General features: G+C 49.5%; 3 protein-coding genes across 39 annotated transcripts in view, besides 4 other annotated features; 2 read left to right on the top strand and 1 right to left on the bottom strand.

The window, feature by feature from the left end:
• MIF4GD (MIF4G domain containing) overlaps positions 1–1,131 on the top strand; it is a 5,065-nt gene extending 3,934 nt beyond the window's left edge. For all 32 annotated transcript variants that reach the window (NM_001242501.1, NM_001242500.1, NM_001363806.2 and 29 more), the window contains one exon: positions 392–1,131. In NM_001242501.1, coding sequence (NP_001229430.1) covers positions 392–619 — 228 coding nt within the window. In that variant the 3' untranslated portion in view covers positions 620–1,131. The remainder of the gene's footprint in view (positions 1–391) is intronic.
• MRPS7 (mitochondrial ribosomal protein S7) lies at positions 983–5,480 on the bottom strand. The gene is made up of 5 exons (NM_015971.4): positions 5,376–5,480; positions 4,671–4,862; positions 4,492–4,555; positions 3,852–4,019; positions 983–1,657 (listed from the first exon to the last, which is right to left on the bottom strand). The coding sequence occupies exons 1-5, from the start codon at positions 5,456–5,458 to the stop codon at positions 1,436–1,438; spliced, it is 729 nt and encodes a 242-aa protein (NP_057055.2). The 5' UTR covers positions 5,459–5,480; the 3' UTR covers positions 983–1,435.
• Positions 4,694–5,571: an enhancer, noted in NCBI's record as "NANOG-H3K27ac-H3K4me1 hESC enhancer chr17:73257869-73258746 (GRCh37/hg19 assembly coordinates)". NCBI's record gives its function as "activates a minimal SCP1, AML or CMV promoter by ChIP-STARR-seq in naive and primed H9 embryonic stem cells {active_cell/tissue: H9 hESC(naive and primed)}" and the evidence as "EXISTENCE:reporter gene assay evidence [ECO:0000049][PMID:30033119]".
• Positions 4,694–5,777: a biological region, named in NCBI's record as "NANOG-H3K27ac-H3K4me1 hESC enhancer GRCh37_chr17:73257869-73258746".
• Positions 4,996–15,596, top strand: part of GGA3 (golgi associated, gamma adaptin ear containing, ARF binding protein 3) — a 25,765-nt gene continuing 15,164 nt past the window's right edge. For 4 of the 6 annotated variants that reach the window (NM_001291642.2, NM_014001.5, NM_138619.4 and 1 more), the window contains exon 1: positions 5,753–5,811. Coding sequence is in view for 2 of the 6 variants with exons in the window: in NM_014001.5 (NP_054720.1) it covers positions 5,772–5,811 (40 nt within the window). In the remaining 4 variants the exon portion in view is untranslated. Of the gene's footprint in view, positions 5,078–5,752; positions 5,812–15,596 lie in introns of those variants that run through there. The other 2 variants (NM_001172704.3, NM_001172703.3) reach the window with 1 other exon arrangement.
• Positions 5,368–5,777: an enhancer, noted in NCBI's record as "active region_12742". NCBI's record gives its function as "activates an Ori minimal core promoter by ATAC-STARR-seq in GM12878 lymphoblastoid cells {active_cell/tissue: GM12878}" and the evidence as "EXISTENCE:reporter gene assay evidence [ECO:0000049][PMID:35858748]".
• Positions 6,248–6,347: an enhancer, noted in NCBI's record as "active region_12741". NCBI's record gives its function as "activates an Ori minimal core promoter by ATAC-STARR-seq in GM12878 lymphoblastoid cells {active_cell/tissue: GM12878}" and the evidence as "EXISTENCE:reporter gene assay evidence [ECO:0000049][PMID:35858748]".

Raw genomic sequence — 15,596 nt, 5'->3', positions numbered from 1 at the left:
CAATAGAGAGCAGCCAAAACCTACTGGCTCAGTAGCTTCCTTCTCAGTCAGAAAGCCAACGTATGATGGCAGCTGTGCAAGCCATGGCTAGCTGTGGGTACAGACGGCCCCAAAGCCAAACCAGGGTCAGGCAGTGTGTGGGAGGCAGGAGAGTGGGATGAAGAAGTGGTTTGGAGACAGGCTTGAGTGGAGCCTGGCCAGATGAGGGACCTCAGGCAAGTCCCGGAACTCATTTCTTTCTGTGTAAGATGTGGAAGTACCCACTGGATGGTAAGGAGGGAGCAAGGGAATGAGTGTAAAGGCAAAGCACAGCACCTGGCACTTGGCAAATGCTGTGTGAGAGGCTGGCACTGCCCCAGTTCACTTGTGTTACCCACACTGTCGCCTGCAGGTGGACTGTTTGGTGCTGCAGCTGCACCGGGTTGGGGAGCAGCTGGAGAAAATGAATGGGCAGCGCATGGATGAGCTCTTTGTGCTGATCCGGGATGGCTTCCTGCTCCCAACTGGCCTCAGCTCCCTGGCCCAGCTGCTGCTGCTGGAGATCATTGAGTTCCGGGCGGCCGGCTGGAAGACAACGCCAGCTGCCCACAAGTATTACTACAGCGAAGTCTCCGACTAGGCCTCCAGATCAGGGCTTCCTCACCAGCACTGGCCTTTCTTCTACCCACCTCTAAAGCTGGCAGTGGAGTCTCTGCCTCACCCAAAGACTTTTCCCTTCCAGACTTTGAGTGTCTTCCCTTCTAGACTTTCCCATCTCCTGGTGAGATGTTTCCCACTTATGCCGTGGTCCTGCCCTGAGCCCCTTTCCCCACCACAACCCACCACGGCCAGGCAGAGAAGGGCAACTCCCAAGAGCCACTGCACTGTGTAACCATTAGTGCAACTACTACCTTGGTGCCTCAGTTTACCCATCTGTAAAATGGGTAAGCATAGCCACTGGTGGGATATTTTGGGATGTCAAGGGGTGGAGGCAGAGCACAAGTCACACCAGAAACTGCTTTTTATACATTTTGTATAAGGACAACTCTGGAAACAAGCCTATTTCCTCCAGCCAGTTTCACTGAATGCTGCACCACATGCTACACCAGTTCAGCGTGAGAATTTTCTAATAAATCTTTTCTGATACTAAAACTGCTTCCTTTATATATCCAAAGGTCCGCCCCAACCTAAGGGAAGAGAAAACAGCCCTGAGTTTCCTGGAGGAAATTCCCAAGTCAATGTGCTCCCTCTTTACAAGGAAATAGGGGCAGAGAGAGCAAGTTCCAGCCTCAAAGAAAGAAGGATTAACGGATAGTGAATATGCTGCTACATCTTTCTTACGAGGCCTGCCCACCCTTACAAAGGAACTACATCCTTAACCCACAGGTAGTTTTCAGCGTGGCAGTAGCTCACACTGTTTCTTGCGGCAGAGGGCCCTGGGCTCCTCCTGGAGACTCTACCACCAGCGGTAGTGGGCCAGGGCACGGTTGGCCTCTGCCATCTTGTGCAAGTCATGCTTCCTCTTGATCACGGGGCCCTGGTTATGGAAAGCCTCCAGCAGCTTGTGTGACAGCTTCTCCGGCATCAGTGTCCGCTGGTGCTTTTTATCCCGGCACTCAGTGATCATCCACTTCATGGCTAGGAAGCGGCGACGCCGGTCGGGTAGGGGTACAGGGACCTGGGTGAGACAGGACATAGGCAAGTTGGTCCAAGAGTCTGCCAGGGTTTGGGGCCTCCTGCCTCCCTGAATTCTAAGGAGTAGCCACATGTTCCCTCTGGACCAGCCCTGGTCAGGCCTGGGGAGAAGGGCCTGTCTTTTCTTCGAGCTTCCCTCACCTTCAGGTGACCCCAGTGTAGCAGACATAAGAGGCGTTCATTCAGCAAATACTAATTAAGCACTGGCCTCTCCCGGCACTGTGGTTCACACCTGTAATCCCAGCACTTTGGGAGGCTGAGGCAGGAGGATCGCTTGAGCCCAGGAGTTCAAGACCAGCCTCGTCAATATAACAAGACCCTGTCTCCATATATTAAAAAAAAAAGAAGGCCAGGCACGATGGTTCACGCCTGTAATTCCAGCACTTTGGGAGGCTGAGGCAGGTGGATTACCTGAGGTCAGGATTTCGACACCAGCCTGGCCAATGTGGTGAAACCTCGTCTCTACTAAAATGCAAAAATTAGCTGGGCGTGGTGGCAGGCGCCTGTAATCCCAGCTACTTGGGAGGCTGAGGTAGAAATGCTTGAACCCAGGAGACGGAGGTTGCAGTGAGCCAAGAATGCACCACTGCACTCCAGCCTGGGCAACAGAGCGAGACTTCGTCTCAAAAAAAAAGAAAAAGAAAAAGAAGAAAAGCACTGGCCATTTTCCCTCCTAAATGGTAGTCCTACCAAGTTGTTATAAGAACCAAATAGGAAAAGCCCCATTAGCTGGGGTGACTAATCCACCTCAGACCATAGGTACCTAAAAACAAGACCCCTTCAGTCTTCAGACACAGCAAAACCCTGTCTCTACTAAAAATACAAAAAAATTAGCTGGGCATGGTGGCGGCCACCTGTAATCCCAGCTACTTGGGGTGGGCAGGGACTGAGACAGGAGAATCTCTTGAACCCGGGAGGCGGAGGCTGCAGTGAGCCGAGAGCTGAGATTACAGCACTGCACTCCAGTCTGGGCAACAAAAGCGAAACTCCATCTCAAAAAAAAAAAAAAAAGTTAAAAACAAAAAGACCCTATACAAACAGTTAAAGAAAACCAAAAACAAGACCCCGTGTCCAAAAATCATTTGTCAGGCCCTCACTATGCGTCAGTACCATGCCAGACACGAGAGTGCAGACAATAATGAAGTCCCTACCCCATGGAGTTGATATTGAAAAAGGAGAACACAAGAAAACTCAGGACAATAAAATATAATTAAATGCTATGAAAGAGATACCTAGTACTGTTCAGCAAACACTGATGAAGCATCAGTTATCGGTCAAGCACTATGCCAAACACTGGCATACAAAGACAGGATATGAATAGTCCCTCGCCATGAGAATTTTACAGGTTAGGACACACAGGATGCTTGACAGAAGAAGGCGAAGGGAGGTGGGCTCCCAGATGTCACTTAGATACTTCTTCACTCTCTTCCACCTTCTGCCTATAATTTTTACGCTACAGGACTCAGATGAGTGGACCGTAACAGTCTCAATTCTTTTTTTTTTTTTTTTTTTGAGATGGCGTCTTGCTCTGTTGCCAGGCTGGAGTGCGGTGGTGTGCTCTCGGCTCACTGCAACCTCTGCATCCTGGGTTCAAGCGATTCTCCTGCTTCAGCCTCCCAAGTAGCTGGGACTACTGGTATGTGCCACCACACCTGGCTAATTTTGTATTGTTAGTAGAAACAGGGTTTCTCCTTGTTGATCTCGAACTCCCCACCTCAGGTAATCCATCCACCTCGGCCTCCCAAAGTGCTGGGATTACAGGTGTGAGCCACCGTGCCCAGCCGTTTTTTTTTTTTTTTTTTCTGAGACAAGGTTTCTCTCTCTTGCCCAGGCTGGAATGCAGGGGCGTAATCATAACTCACTGCAGCCTTGACCTCCTGGACTCAAGTGATCCTCCTACCTCAGCCTCCTGAGTAGTTGGGAGCACAGATGCACACCACCACACCTGGCTAATTTTTTTGTTTTTTTTGTAGAGACGGGATCTCCCTATGTTGCCCTGCTGTCTCTTAACTCCTGAGCTCAAGCTATCCTGCATTAGGCTCCCAAAGTGCTGAGATTACAGGTGCAATCCCACTGCACCAGCTAGAAAGCTATCAATCTTGACCCAACTCCCAAGCACCACCTATCTTGTTTCACATGTGGAGGGCCCTGCTTTCTTGCCCTGGCCATTCATTCACCTGGTAGAAACGGCCTCCCTTGAGGATGGGTACCAGCCCAATCATAGGCTCACAGTTTTTCAGTGCTTGATGGAAGATGGTGTAGGGGTTGCGTTCGATGGTTGCCTGTTCCTCTGCAGAAGCGGCATGGTACTTCTCAAACTGCTTCCTTTTCACAGCTTCCAGAGTCTGCAAAAGAATATGGTGGAAGAGGCTGCCCCAGGCTCCCTAAAGGGTTTACCCAGCCAAGCTAGTACCTTGCCCTTTACTCCCATCCTCTGGTTCTGCGCTGGCAATGCAGCTCCTCTCACAGCACATCCAAAACAAAGTTTTTAAGTGCCTCCCCCTTTGCTAGACTAGGACAGAAAGAGTGGATTGAGATTTGTGGCATGGAGGGGGTGGGGGGTGAGGTGGGGAATGGCAGTTGTTTTATTTTTTATTTGTTCCTTTTTTTTTAATTGTGTGTTTACTTCCGAAACACCAAGGAATGGCAGTTGCTGACTCTTACAGGGCTTCATTAAAGCCCGTACACATGCAGGGAAGTTAATCTGAATAATAGATACATGAATCCATTTGCTCTTAAGCTACACTGAAAGTACCAAGTACAAGGCTACGGGGTAGGGGGGCAAGAAAGATGACTGAGGAGGGAAGTGCTGTTTACCTGAATCATGAGGGATCTGGCCAGTACTTTGTTTCCTCCTATCATCATCATGTTGGTGAATTTACTTCAAAGAGAAAAGCAACACGTTTAGCTCTCCAAGGCTGTATCACAGAATCCTCACCAGAAACCCTCCCTGGGATAGTCCCAGTCCATGTAACAAGTGTTTGTTTCCATCTAACCTGATGACTGGGTCTTCAAACACAGAACTTGTTTTCCCTGCTGGAGCAGCTTTGATGAGCTGAGTCTTCTTGAGCTCCCGAACATATTTCTCCTCCTCAGTTAGCTCCTCCACTGGCTTGCGATAATATTCCTTGTCAATCAAGGGATCCTTGAATTCAGGACTATAGCGGCTCCATCTCACCTGAGTTAGCCTGGGAGGGGGGGAAAGGAGGAGGCAGGCAAAAGCTGACTCCACAAGCGAGTAGGTTTGACTTAACAATAGGCATGACTGCCAACGCGCCGACGAGGGGGAGCGGCGCGGAGACCGCGAGCTAAACCTGAGCCACAACAATTCAGGCCCTTGTCCCAAGTAGGAGGACATTCCCCAAGCAGGCGGGTAAAGTCTCCTCCTGGTCAAGTGCTAACGGTAAGGATGGGCTTGGCGCCTACACACCCATCCCAATTCACAGGCGATCCCAGATCTGAGCTCTTTAGCTGAACCGCACTTTCAGCTCCGCGTTAGAACCCTAGATCAGCCAGACTCCTTAGGCGAGAGGTAGTCACTAAACCTTCGGATTGGCGCAGGGTCACGCAGCTAACTTAGAAGCTTGAATCCAGATACTCCGGCCCCCAGGGCAATGCTCTCTCTAGGGGCCCACGCGGCCTGCCTGTGGCCCCCTTCCTTCCTCGCAGCGCCCCCCCGCCGCTGCTCGCCACCCTCTCACCCTGGAAGCTGCAAGACAGCCCGCCGCACGCCCAACGCCAGGCCCGACCATCCTCGGGCAACCTTCACTGCGGGGGCAGCCATCTTGGCTGGCCACGAGGACCCCACAAGGACTGCCCTCGGCGCGCCTGAGCGAGTGACGGGAAACGGGTGAAAAAGACTCCTCAGGGTCCTAAATCTGCGTTTCTCTCCACTGATCTGGACGTTAGAGTTTTTCACTCCGGGGTCCAAAGGGGAGCGCCAAAAGGAAACCCTTGCCCTCCCTGTATCCGTCGCAGTCTGGCGCGGCCCTCGGTGACGGCACTCACTCCTCTCAGGACCCCATGCAGGCCCCGCCCCGTCTCAGCTCGTGCAGACTCTCGCGAGTTTTGAAGCCGCGGGGCCGGGCGGCTGCAATATGGCGGAGGCGGAAGGGGAAAGCCTGGAGTCCTGGCTCAGTGAGTAGCCGCGGCCGTTTCTGCCTGCCCTCGAGCCGCTGGGCTGCCCCTGTCTTCACCCCCACGTCCCCTCCCCGGGCTCCACGGCGTCGCCTCTTGGCAGCCCACGCCCGGTCTCGCCCTCGCCGCGAGCAGCCTGCGATCACGCCCCTTCCCTATCAGGGCGCCGGGCCCCAGTCCGGCCCCCGCTTCCCTCGCTGCGGCGCGTCCTCTTGCTCTGGCGCGCGGCGGCGTGAACTCGGGCTCCTGTCGGGCACCGCAGGCTCGGGGAAAGGCGACAGCCAAGATCTTCGGGCTGACATGCTTCGGCGCTTTGGGGAGATTGTGGTGGGGTCGCCGCCCGGCGGTGACACCAGGAACCCAGCGCCCCAATCCCTGACTAAGGGAGAAGCTTCGGATTGGGGCTGAGTCTCCGGTAGTGGTGGGTGCTGCCGACTGCGTTCAGTCGCCTGGCAGCTTCAGAATTGTGACCATGTGTTGGAGAAGTGACGGCTTCGCTCAGGCAGAATGCTTGAAGTGAGAATAATATTCCAAAGAGAGCGATGATAGAGAACAGAGAGCTCTACCTTTTTCCTGCAGTGACCACAGAAGCATGGTGAAATCGGTGTCGGGAATTCCCCCCCCACACACATACATATACCCCCTTGAATATCCTAACGAGTCAGTGTTGATAGCCTATTCTGAGTAAGGCTGAGGAGCACAGTCTGAAGCTGTAGTTATAGAAGCGTATTGCTGTCATTGCACTGTGAATTACAGTGCTACGAAGGAAATGTGTGTTAACCTGGTTAGCAGGTAGTACTCTGCCTGAGGGTTAATAAGTGAACTTTCCTGTAGGCTAGACCTGGAAGCCTCCTTTAAGTGGAGAGAGAAATTGGACTGGTAATGGGATAGGTGAGATACCTAGTATTGCCTTGTTCTGAGGTCTCTTATTTAGTACTGCTTCCGGGATCTTGGAGGTGATAGCTATTTCCTCAAATTGTCTGATTTTTCCTAGTAAGAAACCCCCTTCAGGAGGTTGAGCTTCAGTTTAAAGGGGAGCATATCCCAAAAGAGAGAAAAAGTAAGATCACGTTTGCAAAATCTGCAGTTGCAGGCAGGTCATAAGGCTTCTTTATATATGGAAGTGTTCTCCAAGGAGCTCAAAGTACTTTACAGATATTCATTAAATTAGTTTACCAAGTATTCTAGCAAAGCAGGCACTACTGCCATAATTTCACAAAAAGAGGACATCCTGACTCCAGTCAAACCACTTGCCCAGAAATGCCCAACTTGCTATAACCAGAGTGGAATTAGTTTGCTTTGAAGGTATTAATATGGGTATTGAATAATTTAAATGACCTAAGCTGAGTTTAATAGGCTACATTTAGAGTTACATTTTGTTTTTGTTACTTGTTTTTGAGACAGAGTCTCGCGCGCTGTTGTCTAGGCTGGAGTGCAGGGGTGCGATCATAGCTCACTGCAGCCTTGAACCCCTGTGCTCAAATAAGTCTTCTACCTCAGCCTCCTGAGTAGCTGGGACTATAGGCACACGCCACCATGCTTGGCTAATTCTTTTGATTTTTAGTAGAGATGAGGTCTTGCTGTGTTGCCCAGGATGGTCTCAAACTCGAGTTCAAGTGATCCTCCCACCTTTCCCTTACAAAGCGCTGGGATTACACACGTGAGCTACCGCACCCAGCCTAGAGTCACATTATGAAATGAGAGGGACACACTTGGTGGGGGGGAGTCACATGGTATCTGTAGAGACATAAGCTTCACAGTTGTTACGACTTAATGTGAACTGTACCAGTTGAACAAACCAGCAGTTGGGGTTCAGCATCGTCTCAGTCAGCGTCCTTGTCACCCCACGTTTGCCTGAATTGTTGCAGAAGCCTCTGCTTGGCCCAGAGACCCAGGTCTCTCCCGTCCTCACCTCTCCTCAGTCCATTCTGCTCCCAGAAGCGCACTTGTGTTGAATCAAATCATTCCACTGTTGCCTGTAATCTGGCCTTGGTTGTTCCAGGCCTTTTTCTCTGTGGCTTCTACGTTTTCCTGCTCTACTCAGTCTGATGTTCTTGGTTTACCAATACACGTTGCTCTCCTTACCTGGAAGCCCTGCTCCCGTTTCCTCAACTAAATGCTTGAAAACCCATCTCAGATTCTCTTTTCTCACAAACCATCTCTTGATGACTTCAGTCTTCTTTCAAGTCCCACCATGATCAATCAATCAATGTTTAATGAGTACCTGCTACGTGGGGTGTTATAGGAGTTAGGAAGTTTAAGAAGATTTTGCCTTTAGTTGGATGGAGGTGATGCTGGAGTGGATGAAGAACTCTCCTGTAATCCCAGCACGTTGGGAGGCCGAGGCGGGTGGATCACGAGGTCAGGAGATCGAGACCATCCTGGCTAACACAGTGAAACCCCGTCTCTACTAAAAAATACAAAAAAATAGCCAGGCGTAGTGGCGGGCGCCTGTAGTCCCAGCTACACGGGAGGCTGAGGCAGGAGAATGGTGTGAACCCGAGAGGTGGAGCTTGCAGTGAGCTGGGATTGTGCCACTGCACTCCAGCCTCGGTGACAGAGCGAGACTCCGTCTCCAAAAAAAAAAAAAAAAAAGATACAAGGCAGTGCTAAAACGCCGGCATTCTCTTTAGGGAACTGGGGATGGGGGAAGAGATGATTCATTGAGGATACTCCATTTGAGCTAGCCATTAAATAATGGGAAAAGTTGGAAAAAAAAAAACACTAGATGGTGATGTGGAGAGAGCAAACCTGTTTGGGGCACACAGTAACAGAGGTGTTTGGGAATGAGGGAAGATAAGGCTGGGAAGTTAAGACCAGATTCTACCAAGTCTCCAATTTCCAGCCCAAGAAGTTTATTTTATTTATTTATTTATTTGAGACAGAGTCTTGCACTGTCACCCAGGCTGGAATGCAGTGGCACAATCTCGGCTCACTGCAACTTCCGTTGCTTAGGTGCAAGCAATTCTCCATCCTCAGCCTCCCAAGTAGCTGGGACTACTGGTATGTGCCACTACACCTGGCTCATTTTTGTATTTTTAGTAGAGATGGGGTTTCACCATGTTGGCCAGGCTGTTGTCAAACTCTTGACCTCAAGTGAGCCACCTGCCTCAGCTCCCTCCAAAGTGTTGGGATTACAGGCTTGAGCTACCACGCCCAGCCCAGCCGAAGAAGTTTAAATTTCTGCAGTTATCAGGCCCTCATTCCTTCTGTACTAGGTGAAATCGGTGTTTTGGTGTCTTAAGAGGCTTGATTTGATATAGGTTTCATGCGCGTCCGTGTGAAGAGACTACCAAACAGGCTTTGTGTGAGCAACATGGCTGTTTATTTCACCTGGATGCAGGCAGGCTGAGTCCGAAAAGAGAGTCAGCAAAGGGTGGTGGATTATCATTAGTTCTTACAGGTTTTGGGATAGGCGGTGAAGTTAAGAGCAATGTTTTGCGGGCAGGGATGGATCTCACAAAGTACATTCTCAAGGGTGGGGAGAATTACGAAGAACCTTCTTAAGGGTGGGGGAGATTACAAAGTACATTGATCAGTTAGGGTGGGGCAGAAACAAATCACAATGGTGGAATGTCATCAGTTAAGGCTATTTTTACTTCTTTTGTGGATCTTCAGTTACGTCAGGCCATCTGGATGTGTACGTGCAAGTCATAGGGGATGCGATGGCTTGGCTTGGGCTCAGGCCTGACATTCCTGCCTTCTTATATTAATAAGAAAAATAAAACAAAATAGTGTTGAAGTGTTGGGGCAGCGAAAATTTTTGTGGGGTGGTATGGAGAGAGAATGGGCGATGTTTCTCAGGGCTGCTTCAAGTGGGATTAGGGGCGGCGTGGGAACCTAGAGTGGGAGAGATTAAGCCGAAGGGAGATCTTGTGGGGATGTTAGAAGAAACATTTGTCGTATAGAATGATTGGTGATGGCCTGGATATGGTTTTGTATGAATTGAAAAACTAAGTGGAATAAGAGAAGGAGAAAAACAGGTATAAAAGGTCTAAGAATTGGGAGGACCTAGGACATCTGATTAGAGAGTGCCTAAGGAGATTCAGCATAGTCCTGCCAGCAAAGATTATTTATTTACTTCAAGAGTTAAGAGTGGCAGTTTGGGGATAGCACGAGGAGATATCACCTGTGATGGCTTGGAGAAACAGTGTAAACCAGCAGTGTAAACAAGAGCAGGGCATGTATGAGTAGTTGAGAACGTTGAATAGGAGTATGACTAGACAGAAGATAGTAGGGATGATGACAGGTTTTTTTTGGGGGGGGGGGCACAGTCTAAGTTGGTCTGGTGTCTGGAATGAGACTGGGGCCTAATAAAAAGGAGCATCTATACAGGAGCTTAAATGGGCTGTACCTTGTAGCATTCTGAGGACAGGTCTGACTTCTGAGAAGGGAAAGTGGTAAAAGTATTGTCCAGTCCTTTTTAAGTTGGTGGCTGAGCTTGGTGAAGTGTTTTTAAAAGACCTTTAGTCCGTTCTGCTTTTCTTGAAGACGGAGGACCGTAAGGGATATAAAGGTTTCACTGAATACTAAGAGCCTGAGAAACTGCTTGGCTGATTTGACTAATAAGGGCTGGTCTGTTAGACTGTATAGAGGTGGGAAGGCTAAACTGAGGAATTGTGTCTGACCGAAGGGAAGAAATGACTGCGGTGGCCTTCTCAGACCCTGTAGGAAAGGCCTCTACTTACCTAGTGAAAGTGTCTACTTAGACTAAGAGGTATTTTAGTTATCTGACTCGGGGCATGTTGAGTAAAGCTAATTTGCCAGTCCTGGGTGGGGGCAAATCTTCAAGCTTGATGTGTAGGGAAGGGAGGGGGCCTGAATAATCCCTGAGGAGTAGTAGAATAGCAGATGGAACACTGAGAAGTTATTTCCTTGAGGATAGATTTCCACAATGGAAAGGAAATGAGGTTCTAAGAGGCGGGCTAGTGGCTTGTACTATAGCATAGCCTGCCTTTGCTGCTGTGTGGCGATTAGGCCTGCTGGAACTGCCATCAATAAATCAAGCGTGATCAGGGTGAGGAACAGGAAAGAAGGAAATATGGGGAAATGGGGTGAATGTCAGGTGGATCAGAGAGATACAGTCATGGGGGTCAGGTGTGGTATCAGGAATAATGTGGGAGGCCAGATTGAGGTCCGGGCCAGGAACAGTGGTAATTGTGGGACTTAACAAAGAGTGAGTACAGCTGAAGGAGCCGGGGAGCAGAAAGTATATGCATCAGGTATGAGGAAGAAAATAATATTGGAAGTTATGAGAAATGTAGAGAGTGAGTTGAGCATAGTTTGTTATTTTTAGGGCCTCTAAAAGTATTAAAGCAGCGGCAGCCACTGCAAGCAGACATGAGGGCTAGGCTAAAACAGTAAGGTCAAGTTGTTTGGGCAGAAAGACTACAGGGTGCGGTCCTGGCTCTTGTGTAAGAATTCTGACACACTAACCATGCCTAGGAAGGAAAGGAGTTGTTGTTTTGTAAGGGATTGAGGTTTGGGAGATTAATCGGACACGATCAGCAGGGAGAGCACGTGTGTTTTCATGAGAATTATGCCGAGATAGGTAACAGATGAGGATGAAATTTGGGCTTGACTGAAGTAATGGGGGCTGTCTGTGAAGCCTTGCAGCAGTACAGCCCAGGTAATTTGCTGAGCCTAATGGATGTCAGGGTCAGTCCAAGTGAAAGCAAAGAGAGGCTGGGATGACGGGTGCAAAGGAATTGTAAAGAAAGCATGTTTGAGATCCAGAACAGAATAATGGATTGTGGAGGGAGGTATTGAGGATAGGAGAGTATATGGTTTGGTACCATGGGGTGGATAGGCAAAACAATTTGGTTGATAAGGCATAGATCCTGAACTAACTTGTAAGGCTTGTCTGGTTTTAGGACAGGTAAAATGGGGGAATTGTAAGGAGAGTTTATAGGCTTTAAAAGGCCATGCTGTAGCAGGCATGTGATAACAGGCTTTACTCCTTTCAAAGCATACTGTGGGATGGGATATTGGCATTGAGCGGGGTAAGGGTGATTAGGTTTTAATGAGATGGTAAGGGGTGCATGATCGGTCGCCAAGGAGGGAGTAGAGGTATCTTATACTTGTGGGTTAAGGTGGGGGGGAATACAAGAGGAGGACGCAAAGGAGGCTTTGGATTGGAAAGGGCAGCAATGAGATGTAGCTGTAACCCAGGAATAGTCAGGGAAGCAGATAATTTAGTTAAAGTGTCTCGGCCTAATAAGGGAACTGGGCAGGTGGGGATAACTAAAAACGAGTGCTTAAAAGAGTATTGTCTAAGTTGGCACCAGAGTTGGGGAGTTTTAAGAGGTTTAGAAGCCTGGCTGTCAATACCCACAACAGTTATGGAGGCAAGGGAAACAGGCCCTTGAAAAGAAGGTAATGTGGAGTGGGTAGCCTCCGTATTGATTAAGAAGAGGACGGACTTACTCTCCACTGTGAGAGTTACCTAAAGCTCGGCATCTGTGATGGTCTATGGGGCTTCCGAGGCGATCGGGCAGCGTCAGTCTTCAGCCGTTAAGCCGAGAAGATCTGGGAAGGAGTCAGAGAGCCTTGGGCCAGAGTTCCAGGGGCTCTGGGAGTGGCTGTCAGGTGAGTTGAACAGTCCAATTTTCAGTGGGGTCCCACACAGATGGGACTCGCTTAGGAGGAATCCCGGGCTGCGGGCATTCCTTGGCTCGGTGGCCAGATTTCTGGCACTTGTAGCAAGCTCCTGGGGGAGGCAGTTATGGAGGAATGCCTGGCCACTGCGGTTTAGGCGTTTGGAAGTTCTTGTGTGCTGGAGATGTAGCTGGGGTTTGTCTCACAGTGGAGGTAAGGAATTGCAACTCAGAAATATGTTGTTACTTGGCTGCCTCTACTCTATTATTGTACACCTTGAAGGCGAGGTTAATTAAGTCCTGTTGTGGGGTTTGAGGGCCGGAATTTAATTTTTGGAGTTTTATTTAATGTCGGGAGCAGATTGGGTAATAAAACGTATATTGAGAATAAGACGGCCCTTTGACCTCTTAGGGTCTAGGGCTGTAAAGCGTCTCAGGGTTGCTGCCGAACGAGCCATGAACTGGGCTGGATTTTTATATTTGATGAAAAAGAGCCTAAACGCTTCTGATTTGGGATAAAGAAAAAGGAGCATTAACCTTGACTATGCCTTTAGCTCCAGCCACCTTTTTAAGAGTAAATTGCTGGGCAGGTGGGGGAGGGCCAGTCACTGAACGAAACTGTAAGCTGGACCAGGTGTGAGGAGGGGAGGTGATAAAAGGATTCTAGGGTGGAGGAGCAGAGGCTGAGGAAGAATTGGGACCTAGATGGCCTGGCGACGAGCAGCCTGAGGAGAAGGGGAAAGGTCAGATGGGTCTGTAGAAAAGACTGGAAAGACCCAGCGACACTTGGGGTTGGGACTGAGGGGACAGGCGGGAGGGAAAGAAGGAGGATTTGGGAGGAATCGCATTGGGAACAGAGACTTGAGAGGGAACGAAGTGTGAAAAATGCCTGGATGTGAGGCACCTCAGACCATTTGCCCATTTTTTGACAAAAATTATTTAGGTCTTATAGGATGGAGAAATCGAAAGTGCCGTTTTCTGGCCATTTAGAGCCATTGTCAAGTTTGTACTGGGGCCAAGCGGTGTTGCAGAAGAAAATAAGGCATTTAGGTTTTAGGTCAGGTGCGAGTTGACGAGGTTTTAAGTTCTTGAGAACACAGGCTAAGGGAGAAGGAGGAATGGAGGCTGGAAGGTTGCCCATAGTAAAGGAGGCAAGCCCAGAGAAAAGAGAGAGTAGAGACACGGAGGGAAGGGGTTCGAGGGTTCTTACCCTCCAGAAAAGCAGGAAAGGGGTCAGGGTGTGGAAATAAGGGATTGGGGCACACAGATAAGAGGTCGGGGTGCGGAAATAAGGGATTGGGGGTTCTTGCCCCCTAGAAAAGCGGGACTTACCGCTAAGGGTGAAGGAGAAGGGGTTGAGGGGTACTTGCCCCTCCCCCAGAAATGCAGAGAAGGGGTAGAGACACGGAGAGAAGGGGTTGTGGTACTTGCCCCTCCCCCAGAAAAGCAGGACTTGCCGCTAAGGGTGAAGGACCAAGGCAGGCGTCCCTGAGTGGTCTGACACCTTTGAAACGTGAGTGAATAATCAGAGAGGTGTCCCTGCAATGATTAAACACCAAGGAAAGGCTGCCTTCCCAGTCTGTGACCAGCGCCAGAGTTTTGGGTCCACGGATAAAACGTGTCTCGTTTGTCTCTACCAGAAAATGAAAGGAATTGAAATTAAGAGAAGGGAGAGATTGAAGAGTGGAAAGGAGAAAGTGGTTGAGGGATAGTGAGAGAGGTTGGAGAAGAGAGTAAGAAGAGGCCGCCTACCTGATTTAAAATTGGTGAGATGTTCCTTGGGCTGGTGGGTCTGAGGACCTGAGGTCGTAGGTGGATCTTTTTCACGGAGCAAAGAACAGGAGGACAGGGGATTGATCTCCCAAGGGAGGTCCCGCGATCCGAGTCATGGCACCAAATTTCATGCGCGTCCATGTGAAGAGACCACCAAACAGGCTTTGTGTGAGCAACATGGCTGTTTATTTCACCTGGATGCAGGCGGGCTGAGTCCGAAAAGAGAGTCAGCAAATGGTGTGGTGGATTATCATTAGTTCTTATAGGTTTTGGGATAGGCGGTGAAGTTAAGAGCAATGTTTTGCGGGCAGGGATGGATCTCACAAAGTACATTCTCAAGGGTGGGGAGAATTACGAAGAACCTTCTTAAGGGTGGGGGAGATTACAAAGTACATTGATCAGTTAGGGTGGGGCAGAAACAAATCACAATGCTGGAATGTCATCAGGTAAGGCTATTTTTACATCTTTTGTGGATCTTCAGTTACTTCAGGCCATCTGGATGTATACGTGCAAGTCATAGGGGATGCCATGGCTTGGCTTGGGCTCAGAGGCCTGACAATAGGGACTTTACATAGGATTAGGATGGATTAGAACAGAAGTTCTAGAAGCAGGTGAGAAGGAGTGGAGGGTAGGGATAAGGAAGGAAGGGATTTAAGAAGACATTGAGAAGGAAAGGACCACAAGACTGAGAGGAATGGATGAGGAGAGAGGGAAGAAGGAGTCAAAAAAGAGGTGGGGGAATAGGGGACTTTTGGAAGGTGCAGCATTTATAGGAATAGTGACTTAATAGACCACATGCAGTGGCTCATTCCTGTGGTCCCAGCTACTCAGGAGGCTGAGGTGGGAGCATCGCCTGAGCCCAGGAGTTGGAGGCTACAGTGAGCCATGATCGCCTACTGCAGCCCGGGGCAATAGAGTGAGACCCCCATCTCTAAAAAAAGAACAAGCACACGCCTGTGGGTGGTCCCAGCTACTCAGGAGGTTGAGGTGGGAGGATCACTTGAGCCTGGGAGGCAGAGACTGCAGTGAGCTGTAAGAGCCACTGCACTCCAACCTGGGTGACAGAGTGAGACCCCGTCTCAAACAACAAAAAAGAAAAAAAAAAACGAAAGACGCCAGGCACTGGGACTCACACCTGTAATCCTAGCACCTTGGGAGTTAAAGGCAGGCAGATTGCTTGAGCCTAGGAGTTCAAGACCAGCCTGAGCAACATGGCAAAATTCTGTCTCTACCAAAAGTACAAAAAATTAGCTAGGTGTGATGTGAGTGTCTGTGGTCCCAGCTAGGCTGAGGTAGAAGAATCATCTGAGCCTGGGAAGTTGAGGCTACAGTGAAGCCATGATCGCACCACTGCACTCTTGCCTGAGTGACAGAGTGAGACCCTGTCTCAAAAAAGAAAAAAAAAGGAAGAAGAAA

This window comes from Homo sapiens, chromosome 17, assembly GCF_000001405.40.
Source record: "Homo sapiens chromosome 17, GRCh38.p14 Primary Assembly".
NCBI lineage: Eukaryota > Metazoa > Chordata > Mammalia > Primates > Hominidae > Homo > Homo sapiens.
This window is presented reverse-complemented; position numbering and strand designations above follow the sequence as displayed.